The sequence below is a fragment of the Homo sapiens genome, chromosome 12, assembly GCF_000001405.40.
Source record: "Homo sapiens chromosome 12, GRCh38.p14 Primary Assembly".
Classification (NCBI taxonomy): Eukaryota; Metazoa; Chordata; class Mammalia; order Primates; family Hominidae; genus Homo; species Homo sapiens.
This window is the reverse complement of record NC_000012.12, coordinates 79,173,867-79,192,500: the sequence shown is the minus strand read 5'-3', so window position 1 is coordinate 79,192,500 and position 18,634 is coordinate 79,173,867. Positions and strand designations below refer to the sequence as shown.

At 35.2% G+C, this 18,634-nt stretch overlaps 1 protein-coding gene across 16 annotated transcripts in view; it reads right to left on the bottom strand.

Moving 5' to 3' along the window:
• SYT1 (synaptotagmin 1) overlaps positions 1-18,634 on the bottom strand; it is a 588,027-nt gene that overhangs the window by 259,508 nt on the left and 309,885 nt on the right. The window lies entirely within an intron of this gene.

Sequence of the window (18,634 nt, the reverse complement as noted above, 5' to 3'; positions counted from 1 at the left end):
CCTCATCAGTATTCCCCGAGTAATGAGCATCTGAGCCTCCAATGTCCTGTACATGGGGTCAGAAATTAAACTCTTCTCACTTTATCCCTACCCATCCTGAAGACAAAAGGTCTCCTTTGGCATCTGCATAGGTCAATTCAGGCAACAAATAAACTAGACTGTCTTAATGATATCAACTGGTAATTCTATCAAAGGAGAATCAAACAATGATTTTCCTACTCTGCATCCTTTTATTTTTAACTCCTTAGGAATAGATTTTGGTTCCTTTCATCCTATGTGATCTCTTTTCACTAAAACACACACTCCTGTTCCTTCTCACTCCTAGTCCTTGCTAGGTATTTCTGACATTCTTAGACCTTCAATCTCTTTCCTTTTTACTTGCACGCTTGTCTTCATTTCAGGTTCTTGCCAAAGCATCCCCCTAATGTTTTAACACAAGAATAATGCTAATGATACACATCTAAAGTTAAGGGGAAGTTATAGGGGTGGATTGATATTAAAAGTACCATTGTTTTCCCCTCAGGTCAGCTCCTAATGTCACCACTTAAAGGAACCTTTTTTATTTTTTTCAGGTAGAAGCAACATTTTTCTTCTGCACGGTTATGGCTACTGATCTCTGTACCTTGCTCATGGCCGTCACCATTTTGTGTCTTAAGTTGTGGTTATTCAGGTATATGTCCCATATTCCATACTAGACCAGCAAGTCCTCAGAGGTTACATGAGGATTAAAGGAGATGTTATGTATGTGTGAAGTCCCTGAAGCATAGCAATGTCCACTACAAGTTTTTGACAATAAAAAAGAAACAACTAACCATGCATTTTTGAAGTCTAGAAATGTCTTAAAATTCTTAAAATATCAACAAATGTCTCTACCTAGTCATCCTGGCATAATGAAACCCACATATCCTCATGTGTATAAGTGTAAGAGGAAGTAGAAGAAAAGAGAAAATGTTAATTGCATAGCAACTAAAAACAGGATGTCATAGTGTAATTATAAATATTTCTATTAGCAGGAATCATTATTATAAGGCTTTGCCTATTTTTATTCCCAAGGCTCTTCATGTACTTGGATCTGCTACTTCACTAAAAAAATTTCATGTGAATGTCTTTGAACAGCAAAATAGAGTTTTTACACATGTTCTTGGTAAGTTAAACTTAATGAGGAAAGAACCCTACTGTTGATGTACACTTAGAGATCAGGAATATCTATTCTATCCCCATATCTATGTTTCATCAAGACATTCCTTATTTTTATAATTGGTATGTAGTTACGTTGGTATAGTGTTTTTCTTGAATGAACCTGTGACCAATTTGAATTTAGGAATAATAACATCTGCAAAAATAAACAAATAATAAGATACATGAGAAATGGAGCAAAGAGTTTATACATATATATATATTTATATTTATGTTTTTTTCAGTACAAATTACTAGCCAGTAATATATGTATTATACAAGCATCTAAACCTCTAATCCTCTCTGCTCCAAGACTCACATTTTAATTATCTCATTGGTAAGTGAGAGGTAGAAATTTCTGTGCATAATTAGTTCAAGAAACAGGAACCTTGTTTTGTGAGTAGCTGCTCTCATTATTGGGGACATGGACACATCTTTGTAGATACAAAACATGTAATATATTACTCTATCAAAAGAATGATTGGGGGACACAAAGTTCTGAAAAAAAGAGGGGCAACTAGAAGTAAAATGATCAAATGCTATAAAAATTAGCCTTGCTAACAGAACTAATGAAAAGCTTTTTAACTCCATCAATCCATGATATTAGTGAATATTGACTGTAAGTGAATGAATACAAACTGCTTCTCAAATGAAGGGCATATAGTCTAAAATAGCTGAAAGTCATTTCTCTGAAAGGAGATCATTAATCTGGAGAATGAAACACTGATGTTTCTTCCTGGCGCCGGTGCTGTGGAGTACTGCACTAGGATGGTAACATGGAGATTGCAATGTATCGATTTCAAAAGTCATACTTTTCGCCAGCTATGGAAAGCAATGGGGTCAGAGCTCTGGCTTCTTACATTTGAAATGAAAATGTATGTGTGTGTGTGGGTGTTTTGATGTCAATTATTTTATGGTGCTCTTATAGGCCTTTTAGCACTAATTTTATCTAGTTTTATGTGAATTCCAGGCCAAATCTCAATAAGTTGCTGAGCTTTCTGAGAAAGTTGATTCTTCACAGGTGATTTTGACAGGAAAGAAGGTAGGGGAGTAACAAGCTGTGGTTCAAAAACTCTCTTTGACTTTATGGATTTGCATGCTTGAAAAATATATATGCATCATGTTCTAAAATTCTCTGGCAAGTTCGGAAAAGAAGAAATATAAATCAGATATTAATTGTAAAAATGATTCAAGAAACATGGACAGGTTGATTTTCTTCAGGATGTAGTGCTGCAGTTAATTATGCATTAGTCATCTAGACTGAAGGCAGAGGTCTTCCACCAGAGTGGAAGGCAAAATACAGTCCAGTGATTAAAAGAGTGAACTCTGGGGGAAAACACGCTCCCCTTTATATGCCACTTCCAGCACTTTTTCACTTGTGTGACTGTGTGCTTATTTAAGTTATTTATATTTATTTTTTTGAGACACAGTCTTGTTCTGTCACCCAGGCTGGAGTGCAGTGGCACGATCTCAGCTCACTGCAACCTCCGCCTCCTGGGTTCAAGTGATTCTCCTTCCTCAGCCTCCAGAGTAACTGGGTCTACAGGAATGAACCACCATGTCTGGCTAATTTTTGTATTTTTAGTAGAGACGAGGTTTTGTCATGTTAGCCAGGCTAGTCTCAAACTCTTGACCTCAGGTGATCTGCCTGCCTTGGCTTCCCAAAGTGCTGGGATTACAGGTGTGAGTCACCATGCTTTTCCTAGGTTAATTTTTTCATGGGTAAACCAGGGATAATTATATCTTCTATACTGTGTTACTGAGAGGAATAATTGAAATATACAAATCAAGAACTTAGTGTTTCTCATATAATAAACACTTAATAAAATGTCAGCTATTATACAAATATTTGGGAATTGTTCACATTTTTCAGTTATTTTAATTGTTTTACATAGCTATAATGACTTGAACATACCTCTGAATCAAACAATAGCTAAAAGTTATTGAAAGTCAACTAGGCCAACATCATTTGATAGAATTCCTTCTATAGTAGATACTGCAATGATCTCCATGTTACAGTAAGGAAATTAAAGTGTAGACAGACTAAATAGTTTGTACAAGACCACAGAGCTAGTAAAGTGATAGAATCTGAATTCAAACCCAAGAAGCTTATTGCAGAACTCTTTTTTAAGAAATAGCTTGAGCCTCCTAATTTTAGAGGAGGCAAATAACATTCAGAAAGGGATGGTTGCTTCCAAAAGTCAGAAAGCTAGATAGTGGTCTAGTCATCTTTTTACTCAGTTACAGTTTACTCCATTAGCTGTGCTAAAAATTAGAACATTAAAGTTGATGCAACCATCATAGAAGTTAGAAGCCTGACTGAGAAAGAGCTACTTTCAGAGCTTGAGCATCAAGATAAAAAAAAATAGGTTAGTGATTTGATACTCAGATCTTTGGTTTTTATAAGAATAATAAAGTGGGACTCTGTATTCTTCTATGCATTTTCAAGGACTTGAAAAATTTCCAGTTACATCTCCTAGACAACTACTCCACATTCATTGGATTTTTACTTGAAAGTCAGCCATTAGTGATTAATTCATTTGTGTTAACTATTTTCTCTCCTTACTCTTTGTGGGGGGAAAAAAGCAAATTATTTTTTGGAGTGATGCTACAAAATATTAAGACTTTTCCCTCAAGATAGAAAAAAAGAGTATTAGCTAGAAAGCCACATTGGCATTGAATAGATGTGAAGCTAGAAAGGTGAAATGGAACAAAGAATAAAGCCTTATTTATGGCTTTGCCTGTGGTCAACCCTTGTAAAAAAAAGTTGTGAAAACACATGCTTTTCCAACTCCATGAGGATGCAATAAAGATAAAGGAAGTCAAGATAAATGAAAACAATCTAAGTCCTGAGAAAAGGGTTCAAAATCCAAATTACACCATTTCTTTCTCCTTAAAAATCAATTTGACATGGACACTTTCAGAAAGGAAGAAATTGCTTTTAAATCATAGATCTGAATTCTAAAATCCAATCAAAAATCTTGCACTCAGATGTTCCAGATACATTTTTTATAAGTTCCAAATCCATTTTTCATAAGGCATAAAATGGAAAAAATCTCCTGCCATTTGTAGAATGTCTCTATTCTAAAAATATATTCTGGTATGTTGAGTTTTTTACTGTATTACATGCTATATGATCTTATAAAAATCTCTGGATGAAAAAGGGAACTGGAATAGGAAATTTCACTTTAAAAAATTATTTTAAAAAGCAGCACAATAAATATGAAATTTACAAGACACCAATATAATGCGAATAAATTATTTGAAATGGAAAAGGAATAACCTGTGCTGTACATGTGTGTGTTTTTTAAAAAGACGTGTTTCTTTCCCAAGTCTTGATAGTTCAGTGAAAGAAATGTAGAAATAATGAAACATGACATATTCCTTAAATAATTCAAATGAGAAGAATTGGGAGGAAGGAAACAGAATGTAAAGATTAGCTTGTGCCCTACAATAGCTGAACAGGGGCATTGTGGTAGGCTGTCTTGAGAGAATCAAAATTAGACATTCCAACATATCAGCGAGATTGCTAGTGGTCTTGGGAAGGTTCCCTTTTGTTCACTACCAAATATGCCTTCTTTGAAGGGAATCCTTTTCTGCCCTCTCAGGAAAAGAAAAAAGAAATATACTGGAATAGTGATAAAGCTATTTCTAGGGCTCCTACTAATCTTTTATGAAGCCTCGTCTGCTATCTCTTTTAGAAACTAAAAATAACGTGAGGTGATACATGAATATGCAATGAAATATTAAAGCTGCTCACCCAAATTGGGGAAGGTTCTCACTGTTACAATTGGGAAATTACCAAAATTAATGTGAATGTATGAAATCCGGCAGGAATTAAATCCCAGGTGCTTGTCAGCTGTTGCAATTTGAGTGATAGACATAAAAACTAAAGATAGACATAAAAACCAAAGTGAAAAAGAAAGTGGAGGTGCTAGGAGCGTTGCTTTCTGGACGATACCTGTGGCAAGATGATGAGAGAATTATTCCAGTGCTCTCTGAGCAGCTGCCGCTTAAGACCTTCCTATTATTCCCACTGTTATGCTCAATGACTTTTAAAAAGCTATTTTGGGTGCAGTTCTTGGGCTCCATCCAATATATATCTTTTTATTCTTCGCTGGTGTATTGCCACTTGAATGGGCTGAGAGAGTTATATAAAACAAGCCAGATGGTAGCTGCTTGAGGTTTGAGATACCTTGTGCTGTAAGGGGGTGTAGAAGAAAATAAAGAAACAATAAAAACCTAAAAGCAAGTGTAAATAAAATAATGTTTAGATGAGGGGACTGTCTTTCTTATATCTAATTAGTAAAACACTATTGAAGTTATCTATAAGGAAGACAATGTTAAATGAACTTATAAATAATACCAGATTAGATTACCTTTTAAGGAGTAAATATTATTTACATTTGTCATCTCCAGGAATTGGTGTATTATCACAGAAAAGTGCCTGCTAAGTATAATTAACGTGACTATTTTTGACTTTCACACAGATTGAAAAAAACATGAAATTGACATTCACTAATTATTCACTTGCAAGGAAAATAAATCTTAGGCCTTCATTGTCTACTACTCAGAAGATGACAAATTACAATTTCAAGAGAAATCTGGTAGGAGGAAATGTATCTGGCAGCTAGTCTTTGATGTGGGAAACCAGGGGGCCAGGAGTCTACTTCCGATTTTTTCACTTATTGGACATTTAATCTTTGGGGAGCCACTTAGCTGCTTAAAGACATTTTTACTAACTGAAATGGATATCATGAATAAAATTACTTCCTTTCTCTCAAAGAAAAAGTTTCAAAAGTTCAATTTGCTTTCTAGACCTGGGGAGGATAATAAATTGAAATGCCCATGAATATAAAAAACACACACAATTAAAAAGTTATGGGCAAAGGAACACAATCAAGTACAATATTCCCATTCTAATATTGATGAAAGAAAATGTCAAGCAATGTAAGACTAGAACCCAGGTTTTCTACACTTTTTCCAGTATAGTATAAGAATACTTTTTACAAAGTAATGGCTTTGTGCAACAAATATAAATAAAATACAAACTAACATAGGTATCATGCAAGTGAGGTAGAATATATAAGAGGAATTTGAATGTCTAGAATTGATAAAGTAATTGAACTTTATGTCATATTACTCATAAAAATTTTATACTTATGAAATAAGTAAAATCCAGAAGATACCAGAAAATCACATGCAAAGAAAGATGAGAGGAAAGTTTTAGAAGATGTAAATTTGAGGGGATCCTTGAATATAAAGAAAATCCTTTGGTGTCAGGGGAAAAGGTGACAGAAGCAGCTTCTTGAACAAAGAAAGATATAAAAAATGCTATGACACCAAATGAACTATTTTTGAGAATTAAAATGTCAGAAAGTAAAACAGTTAAATTCTTAACATGCTGCAGGATTGCATTTAAATATTTTTTTGGCCAAAAATGTTGAAGATTTAAAAAATGGAGAGTATCTCTCATTTTCTAATGGACATTAGTGGAAATATAGGACATATTTTATAGAAAAAGCCTGTATAGTTAACTTTGCTATAAAATAATCATTACATGATACATTACTTGGTTCAGTGGAACTGGTATGTAATTATGGATATTTTCAAGTCACTTCTATATACATACTACTGATCCATATTTTCAGTCCATACTGCTAGTAGTTAGCTGATATAATGAAGATTTGCTGTAATGGACTGATTTCTTTTTTTGAATGGGCTACTCTTTTTTTAACATATATTTGTCTTTTGTCTCTAATAAAGATGTCAGCTCCTTGAAGACTCAGACCATTCCTTCTGCAGTGCAAACTTATATAACAAGATATAATGTGGCCACTTATTATCTGTGTACTCTGGAGAAATCTAACACAGAAGGGATATTGGAAAGGTGGAATAGTTGTTCTGTAAAATCTCACACTAGATCACTCCAATGTGCATTCAACCCTAAAAGTGCCTGATGGAGGTGAAGACCTTACCAGGCTCAATAGAACTGCTAGAAAAACAGTCGGAAAAATAGAAATGCAAATGGATAGGTGAAAGATAATTTAAGTAGCATTTAATTTCATTTTAATAAATCTCCAGCACTTAGTTATTTGTCATTCAAATAGGTGACTCTTCATAAGCACTGATGATTGACTTCTTGTGAACAAAGGTAATTAGAAATTCACAGAATCTGTAAATAATGTCTTAGGTCAATTTCTGAGCATAACTAGTGCTCCTGAGGATCAGTAGTACAGACCAAGATGGCAATTCATAGTGGAGAGAGCCGGCTTCTTGATACTTCCTTTTGCTAGGTGACATTTCTGTTTGCTAATGAAGATGCTCTTGCGGTAAGAACACAGCTCATGCAGTTTTATGTCAGGAAAGAGATCCTGGGATAGAAGAATTTTCAGAGGAGATGCTTAAGCTTTACCAGTTTAAAGAGAAATATTCCCTTTCTAAATATCAACAGTTTCCCAGTGAATCTAAAATACTCAGAGCGTGCATGTTAATAAAGATGATGTCACAAACCACTGGGGTGCAAATTAGATTTCCATTCTTTTACTTCTACTCCTAGATGTGGATTATAGTTATTCATATTTGACTTGGAAAGAGCTGAAACATAAGAGTTTTAAAACCTACCTAATTCTGACCATCTTAGATATTCTGAATGCTGGATATTATCTCTTAATATAGTTTACAGTGATTTTCAGTTGTGCTATAGAAGACACATGCAAGATAATTATCTGTTGGTGACAACAGCAATGGCAAAAATCTTTGTAATGCCCATGCTAATCTCATCTCATTATAATCTCTCTGCACAGTGGGTGGCTTGCTGATGGTCACATGGCCAGAAACTGATGATGCCAAATTCAAACCCAGGATTCTCATGCCAGATACTAGCTCAATTTATTTATTTAACATATTACCAAATTGAGCCCTTGAAAGGTTAAGTGAGGTATCTAATGTTACATAACTAATAAAGGCATAAGTTCCATTTGGAGCTCAACTGTTGCCAAGTAACTTAGTTCATATCTAGTCATATAGTTCTACAAGTACAATGATAACATTACAACCTATGTTTTTTTCAGCATTTAAAATAAAGGGAAAACATGAGTGAATTCTGGACTAACACCAAGATCCCTGTGAGTTTTCCATCACGTGAAATAGAATACTAATAATGATTTACATGACTCACTTCCTCTTTCTATTCATATTTTCATAATAATTTATTGTCTACTTCATAGCAACATAATGACAGAATGGGAAAAATACTGATCCATGTGGGCAAAACTACAGGATGTTTCCTCACCCTGGGAAGTTTGTTGTTTCTGATATTTTAGGAAGGTAGCTAGAAAAATGGTGGCTGGCGGAGACGATGATGTGGCCCTGCTGTGAGCTGCTAAGGGTACAAACACACTGCAAAGGAATTGTAATTTGTGGATTGTGCTTGTGCTTCTTGTTATGAGATTTTAAAAACAAAGTTGTTTCCTGTAATTATGCCCAGCAGGCACAGAACTCACTACCTTAGTGCTTGCTCGAAAACTTTAGTAAGCATTGATTGACCCTTGAGAACAGCTTGAAAAACAAATAGAAGGTACATATCTAACCTGAACATTCTCTGTTTACCCATGGAACAAAAAACAGCCAGAAAAATTAGCTTGAAAGGACCATCTATACGGTAAGAGGGAGGAGAGGGGCTGTGGGAACAGCATGGTGTATGTTCTTCTAAGAAAGAACCCAGTAATTAAGCCACATAGACCCTTTAGCCTAGAGAAGGGTTTCTTGGCCTTGACACTGTTGACATTTTGGACTACATAATTCTTTGGTGGTTGGGGGTAGCTCTCCTGTGCATTGTGGGATGTTTAGCAGCATTACTAAATGCCAGTAGCACCCTTTTCCCTGAGTTGTGGCAATTAAAAATATCTCCAGATATTGCCCATGTCCCCTGGGGGCAGTATCATCCCTGGTTGAGAACCACTGGCAAAGATGAACCAGTTCCTCTCTACAGAAGACAAATATCTTCCTGTCTGCGCAACTTACTGTGTTCACTAAAAGCTGGTACATCCTATGCAGCACCACTCACTGCAGAAGACTTGTCTCTTCCCGAAGTGAGTGGTGCTGCATGTGTAAGCTACATATACCATAATATCTCAGCCAGTTTAATTCATTCAGATGGAATGTGCATGCTCCAGGGGACAAAAGTTTGTCTAGCTTGAATCTCTAATGCTCAGAAAAGTGAATTCCACATAGTCAGTGCACAATAAACATTTGCTGACTTAGGCAATGAATGTATGATGAAATATTTCTTAAATTCTTAATTAAAAAGAATATAACACATTTGGTTCTTACTCTGAACGATTATTACAAGGACCAGTTTGCATCAGAATTTGACCTACATCAAATGAAGCTATAACAATATTATTATCTGTACACAATATTTAACTTTTTAAAATTGTTAGGCCTTTAAAAATGGGGAAACAGAACTGATTTCTAATGAGAAGTAACAGAAGTAACAGAACTGATTTCTAATGAGAAGTAACTAAGCACAGTTTAGACACACTAATATTATGCAATTTGCTTTAGGTTATCAGATTGAAAGAAAATCTTTTCAGCAGAGATGCTAGAAGAAGGGTAAACATTTATGCTTTTAAATTATAGTTCAGATCTCTGCTTTCAGTCAGTTAAAAACTATTGATGCAATTAACTGCAATATGTGTTGGTCTAAAAAATAAAGTTCTTGAACTATACGCATATCATCTGGACCTACCCATATCTATAGTTTTTTCTCCTTTTACTCTCAGGCTTTGTTGATTGAGTCCCCAGGATGCATTATGCTATTTTCACAGTCCAGGAGGTATATTCTCATGGATGGTCCTCAACTTGTTGTTCATCTGGTCAATTACTCAAGTAGACTTTATGAAGATGTTTCAGGAAATGCTTAATTTTAGGAGTTGGGACAAACTAATGAACAAGAGAGAATAAGAGCATTTAGGAAGAAAACCATGACACCAAAGTGTCCCAAAAAATCACAGAAAGGGAGTTAAAAAAAGACCAATCAGTAGTACCAAACATTAAAGTGAGTTTAAGGAGGATGAAGACCAGTAAAAGACTATTGAAATTAGAGTTTAGAGGTCACTAGAAACTTTTAAGAGAACAGCATTATGAAGTGGAAGCTGGATTACAAGGGCTTGACAAGTGAGTAAAAAGCTGTGATTTTAAAACAGTGCACAATTTTGCAGTTGAAAGGACAAAGACAAAGTAATAACTCAGGGTAACATGGTGAAAAGCTGTCTTTAGAATGTTACAGACCTATACATGTGTGTAGACAAAGAGAAGTTACCAGAAGTGAGAAAGATTTAAAACATTATAAATTAAAACGGAGATGACTTATAGTGCTCCAGAGGAAGAGCATGGAGGATGAGGTAGGGGTGGGGTTGTCTAGGAGAAAGAGAAAAAAGAGTGAAAATAAAGATGTTCTGGAAAAGGGATGATAGAATTGATAGGAACACAATGGGATGTTGTTGGTCTTCATGTGAACTAAAAACTAAGGTTATCAACTGAAAGAGAAGGGATTAGGGGCATTGTGGGAATTTCAGACATTTGAAGCCTGGAGCAGCAGGAGTACTGAGTAGCAGTGAAAGCCCATTGGTGTCTCATGAGGAGAATCCACAGTGGTTCCAGTCACATGACCTGGTCTGCCACACTTAGCTACTTGGGAATGGAAACTGAGAAATCAGATCATAGGGTCTCAGGAACTATTTAAATATATTAGACATCTAGAAAGGTATACGGTTGATATGGAGAAGAGTGGGGGCCCTGGAAGAAAAAAAAGGGAGAGAAGATTGTATTTTGAGTAGAAAGTGGCAAAAATGCTATATGTATTGATCCATACTCTAAGAAACAATGTGATATGCATTCAATCATTTTTATATTGTCAGTACTTCACCTTCTGCTAATATGATCCATAAAAGTAAATCCCTAAGATTTCTTTCCACTCCAAATTTCTATGTTATGAATGACTTTGTTTTATTTAATATTTTTAATTAGCTCAAGAAAAATGCAATCATAAATACTGATATCATTTGAACCTGTGTCCTCATCCAAATCTCACGTTCAATTGTAAACGTGGATTAGTTTACAATGGATTACAATGGACGATGGATTAGTCCATTCTCACAGTGTTAATAAAGACATACCCAAGACTGGGTAATTTCTAAAGGAAAGAGGTGTAATTGACTCGCAGTTCTGCAGGGCTGGGAGGCCTCAGGAAACTTACAATCATGGCAGAGAGGACGCATATACGTCCTTCTTCATGTGGCGGCAGCAAGGAGAATGCAGAGTGAAGAGGGGAAAATCACCTTATAAAACCATCAGCTCTCGAGAGAACTCACTCGCTATCATGAGGACAGCATGGAGGTAACTGCCCCCATGATTCAGTTATCTCCCACTGGGTCCCTCCCATGAAATATAGGGATTATGGGAACTACAGTTCAAGATGAGATTGGGCTGGGGGACACAGCCAAACCATATCACCCAACGTTGGAGGTGGGGCCTGCTGGGAGGTGATTGGATCATAGGGGTGATTTCTCATGAATGGTTTAGCACCATTCTCTTGATACTGTCCTCATGATAGTGAGTTCATTTTCTTGAGATCTGCTCATTTAAAAGTGTGTGGCACCTCCCCCTTCACTCTCTCTTGCTCCTGCTCCTGCCATGTGAGACGCCTGCTCCTCCTTCCACTTCAGCCATGATTATAAGTTTCCTGAGGCCTCCTCAGAAGCTAAGAAGATGCCAGCATTATGCTATCTGTACAGCCTGCAGAACCCCGAGCCAATTAAAACTCCTTTTTTTAAAAAAAAAAAAGAAAATAAATTACCAGTCTCAGATACTTCTTTATAACAATGTGAGAATGGACTAATACCAATACTAAAGCTTTAAATGATTACATATGTTGAGGCTTGTCTAGAATTATAGTCTTCTCTGCTTCTGCAGTGGCATATTCTACCTATAAAATCTAAATTTGAGTTTGGAATCAGGAAGTGAGGATAGTGTGTAAGGAATTCTTATGCTTGTTCTAGAAAAGCTCTTTATTTTTTAATATTAGTTAATTAATATTGTTCATATTTTCAAAGAAATAATGGTTTGGTTATTTTAGGAAGGACAATGGTGGAAATGCAAAATGGTACAATTTCTAATAGAGGGAAATTTGGCAATATCTGACAAAAGTATTTATCTTTAGTAACTCTTCTCTTTGCAATCCCACTTCTAGAAATTCACCCTGAAGATACGTCTTGAAGAATATAAAATAACATGCACAAAGTACATCATTATAGCATAATATTGGGGAAAATCCCAAATATCAAATTATAGGGATTGGTTGAGTAAATTCTGATAGATCCATAAAATGAAGAACTATGGAGCCATAAAAAAGAATAAAGTGTATCTCTATAATCTGTAAGTCTAAAACTTTTTCAAGTGTAAAGTTAGTTTCAATATACATTGTTAAGTGAGACACCCTTAGTGGTACATTGTCCAAGGACAAAAATGAATAATTAAAAATCTGAAACTTAGGCTAGAGCAAATGGCAAATAGATCAAGGACGTTAGAAACTACTGTTTTCAGCCAGGCATGGTGGCTCCCGCCTGTAATCCCAATACTTTGGGAGGCGGAAGTGGGCTGATCACCTGAGGTCGGGAGTTTGAGACCAGCCTGACCCACATGGAGAAATCCCGTCTCTATTAAAAAAAATCTATATCTATATCCATATCTATATATCTAAATCTATATCTATATCTCTATATCTATATCTATATCTATATAGATATATCTATATCTATATCTATATAGATATATCTATATCTCTATATCTATATCTATATAGATTATATCTATATCTATATGGATATATCTATATAGATATATCTATATCTATATCTATATGGATATCTATATCGATATATCTATATCTATATCTATATCTATATCGATATAGACATATCGATATATCTATATCTATATCTATATCTATATAGATATATCTAAATCTGTATCTATATATCTATATCTATATCTATATATCTATATCTATATCTATATCTATATATCTATATCTATATCTATATATCTATATCTATATCTATATATCTATATCTATATCTATATATCTATATCTATATCTATATATCTATATATCTATATCTATATCTATATATCTATATCTATATCTATATCTATATATCTATATCTATATATCTATATCTATATCTATATATCTATATCTATATCTATATATCTATATCTATATCTATATATCTATATCTATATCTATATATCTATATCTATATCTATATAGATATATCTATATCTATATATCTATATCTATATCTATATCTATATCTATATCTATATAGATATATCTATATCTATATCTGGGTGTGGTGGCGCATGCATGAAATCCCAGCTACTCAGGAGGCTGAGGAGATTGCAGTGAGCCGAGATCACGCCATCGCACTCCAGCCTGGGCTATAAGAGCGAAATTCCATCTCAAAAATAAATAAATAAATATAAATAAATAAACAAATTACTGTTTTGACAGTGGGAGATGTGATATAAACATATGAAATGGAGAAAAGTGAGGAAACATTCTATGGTATTGGATTTGACTTGGAGGTATAACTATGTACTCATTATTAAGAAAAATATAGCCCTGTCCACCAAATGAGCCTAGAAAAATAATATTGCAGTAAAAATGAGCATATGCAGGTTTCCAAATATCATTGCCCATAGGAAAAAAACAAAAAACAAAACAAAACAAAACAAAAAACAAATGTCTGGAACAGGCAAGGTACAAAGTGGGCCTAGAATACCTTATTTTGTAAGTAAGAACATGCCCCAAATCTGTTGGAGACATGTCAGAAAGACACAGGGGTGGTTTCTGGTGGCTCTCATCAGCTAAATTTCAGACAATACGAGCATGAAAAAGAAAAATAATGGTGATGGACTACAAAAAAATTGAAATAAAAAGGAATCTATGTGGCTGAGTGATACTATTAAGTAAAAGGAAGAGAACAGTCTTCACAGAATAAAAAAATCTCAAAATGTAAAGGAAATGATAGAATTAGAAAATCACCTTTTTGTAATAGTCAATATAATAAGTGATTCAGGCAAGGGCCAACTATGCTAAAAACACTGGGTAGAAGGTATCCTGGGAAGAGAATATTAATGATAAGAATAGAAATATGCTTTTACAGCAATGGCAACAAAAGCCAAAATTGACAAATGGGATCTAATTAAACTAAAGAGCTTCTGCACAGCAAAAGAAACTACCATCAGAGTGAACAGGCAACCTACAACATGGGAGAAAATTTTCGCAAACTACTCATCTGACAAAGGGCTAATATCCAGAATCTACAATGAACTCAAACAAATTTACAAGAAAAAACAAACAACCCCATCAAAAAGTGGGCGAAGGACATGAACAGACACTTCTCAAAAGAAGACATTTATGCAGCCAAAAAACACATGAAGAAATGCTCATCATCACTGGCCATCAGAGAAATGCAAATCAAAACCACTATGAGATATCATCTCACACCAGTTAGAATGGCAATCATTAAAAAGTCAGGGAACAACAGGTGCTGGAGAGGATGTGGAGAAATAGGAACACTTTTACACTGTTGGTGGGACTGTATACTAGTTCAACCATTGTGGAAGTCAGTGTGGCGATTCCTCAGGGATCTAGAACTAGAAATACCATTTGACCCAGCCATCCCATTACTGGGTATATACCCAAAGGACTATAAATCATGCTGCTATAAAGACACATGCACACGTATGTTTATTGCGGCACTATTCACAATAGCAAAGACTTGGAACCAACCCAAATGTCCAACAATGATAGACTGGATTAAGAAAATGTGGCACATATACACCATGGAATACTATGCAGCCATAAAAAATGATGAGTTCATGTCCTTTGTAGGGACATGGATGAAATTGGAAACCATCATTCTCAGTAAACTATCGCAAGAACAAAAAACCAAACACCGCATATTCTCACTCATAGGTGGGAATTGAACAATGAGATCACATGGACACAGGAAGGTGAATATCACACTCTGGGGACTGTGGTGGGGTCGGGGGAGGGGGGAGGGATAGCATTGGGAGATATACCTAATGCTAGATGACACGTTAGTGGGTGCAGCGCACCAGCATGGCACATGTATACATATGTAACTAACCTGCACAATGTGCACATGTACCCTAAAACTTAGAGTATAATAAAAAAAAACATAAAAAAAAAAAGAAATATGCTTTTACAATGGAGTTATCAGTGAAATTTTGGAGAATTGGGGGAATTTAAATTTAGAGATTATATTGGATAATATTATTGGACGAATGTTCAATTTTTGGATGTGTGATTGACATTGTGGTTATACAGGAAAGTATTTTTGTTCTTAGGAGATACTACTGAAGTATGTAGTAGTATTGTAAACTACGTAGGGTTGTAAACCCTAAGGTTTACAGGGTTATAGGTTGAAGTGTCTTCAACTTATTTTTATCTAGTTTACTCCAAAAAAAATAAATTGATAGTCAAAGCAAATGTGGCAAAGAGGTTACCATTTGGTGTAAGCAAAGGTATATGTGTGTTCATTGTACTATTTCAACTTTTTTTGTAAGTCTAAAACTTTTTCAAATGTAAAGTTAAAAAAATATAGAACTCAACAACAAGAACAAAGCCCCCAATAAATGTACTGTACGAAGCAGGTTGTAGAGTATCAGTGTTTAGTTAAAAGAATTACTCAGCTTAATTTAGTATTGACAAATGAATATCAACATGGAGTATTTAGCTACATGAGTGAAGATAAAACACCATAACTCTTGTGAACTGTGAAGTGTTTCTATTGTGGTCATTATCTTCAGTTTTGCCACTCGGTCTGGGTAACATTAGATCTCTTGCTCCTACACCCCTGAAAATCTGCAGACACTGCCATCATTTACATCAATATCACTTTCTTTTCCAAATCACTTTGGTATTTTTTTTTTTTTTTGAGACAGAATTTCGCTCTTGTTGCCCAGGCTGGAGTGAATGGAGTGATCTTGGCTCACTGAAACCTCAGCCTCCCAGGTTCAAGTGATTCTCCTGCCTCAGCCTCCCAAGTAGCTGGGATTCCAGGCATGCACCACCATACCTGGCTAATTTTGTATTTTTAGTAGAGATGAGGTTTCACCATGTTGGCCAGGCTGGTTTTGAACTCTGAACATCAGGTGATCCACCCTCCTCGGCCTTCCAAAGTGCTGGGATTACAGGTGTGACCCTCCACACCCGGCCCGCTCTGTACTTTCTGAACCAAATTTAAACAGTTTAAGGACCAATAGTGTGAAAATAATCAAACAAGAAATGGCTCCAATTATTTTAACATTAAAATTATTTAAAATGTTTCATCACTTTAACATTGTTGACTGTGGGGATGCTACCCCCCAACCCCCAGGTCTTAGAAGCAATATTAATGTACAGTTTCTTGGGTGGTTTAGATATGTTTATGCCTACTGATAGAGGGGTAAATCAGGGACTTTCATGGTTCCACATGGGTAAACTCTTTAGTGATTCCACATACAAATGATGATAAGATGATGAAATTGTCTCTACTCCTGCCTTTGCTTCACAGAAAAATAATTACAATAGCTAACTCATAAAGCTAATTTACCATGGAGATTCAAATAATGAATTTTAGTGGCAAAAGGGAATTTCATCACCAAAAGTTTGAGTGTGCCAAATAGATGTCTCTGAAGTTACTTTGAAATACATTTTTAAAGAGATGTGCAATAAACTTGAAAGCTGTGCTTTTATAAAAATTTTAAGAAGGGTCCTTGCTAATGGCAGCTAGATTTATTTTATGTTGTCAGCTGCCAAATTAATGTTTCCCATTTAAGTTTGCTCATTATGACCTTACAGACAAACTGAGACTAAATACGAGTGAAGTCAAAAGTATTTATTACATTATCCCTATACTGATGAGCATACCGTGAAGGAAAAAACCCATAGCACCAATAAAATCACAGCAACAAATGTCCATTACTTTCCTCTGATCAACCAGGCCTATGTCGCAGATGTTATTTTCCATTGTGTTTCTATTAGAACTAAAATTGAATACAGTGTAAGTCCCATTATTTCATGGTTCCTTATTGCATTAATTTTGATAGAGGACAGGCTAAATCATGTTTCCCAGAGCATAACACATATAGAAAACAAGCTGGATATAACTCCATTAGCTTAGAAGTACATAGCAAATCAAATCCCTGCTATGCCATTTTTGAAGATATAATAAAACACTTTCCATACAAGCTTTCTGAAACTTTGATGAATATTAACTATAAAATAAAATATATTCTTAAAGAGCAATGGAAAGTACCTGTAAAGTAACCAAAGTAACCACTGGATGGCATTGTGACTACATTAGAATGTGTTGGCAAGACCTTGTATCTGTCTCTAAAAACTCCCACGTTGTTAGCAGCAAGCTCCAATAGGATGATGCCAATTCCTGTTCCTAATTATAAAGTGTTGAAGGAATATAATTTTTTAACATCCCAAAGTGACTTGGCAATACCATTCCAAAGGACTGAAGTGATTAAATTATGACACCTTCTGTACTGTCAACAGTTTCCTGGAGCTTCTCTCTCAACCCATTTTCTTAATCCTTGCTATTGATAGTTCCCAACTCCCTTTTCTTACCTAGATCTCTCTTGTTTCCCAGGCCACATATATACTCTGGCCCATTTCCTTGCTAGTGTCTCATAAATCATATGTTACTGACTAGCTACATTTTATTGCACATTGTAATAAATTCTCAAATCTTTTTCAAGGCTCGTTACACTTTTTATTAATTGAAACCCGATTTCTCCCTGATGCCTTCTAGCCTATTTTTTCTATAAGGACAGGAGAATACGTCACCATATTATTTATCAGCCAATACCACTTCCAGATTATTAACCAACAGCATGTTCTGAAGCCACTTATTTTTTCTGTATTTATGCTATTTAATTCTTCATCAATGTCACCAACAACTTCTGTGATGGGTATCCATCTTTCTCCACTAGCTTACACCACATTGTGCCAACATTTTTAGAAGCATCCTTAGTGATTTCAGCATCCAGTGATGACCCTCTGCTATTTGGCCCTCAAAATTCCTTTTGTTAAAATTCTAATGATTTTCATAATTATAGTGTGGGTTTTATCTCTGGGCATTAATCCATTTTCCAAAACTTCTCTTTCATTATAGACGTCTGTCTTCTGCTTTTCCCCATAAATCTGTTCATTATTTTCCCTTCTTTACTCCTCCTAGACTGACACAGATACTGGTTTCATTTGTCCAGCAACAGAGCCTGAACTCCACAACATCTATTGTAATGATACACTACTTTCATAGAATGCCACATTAAGTTAAATATACATTACGGCACTTGCTAACTGTAA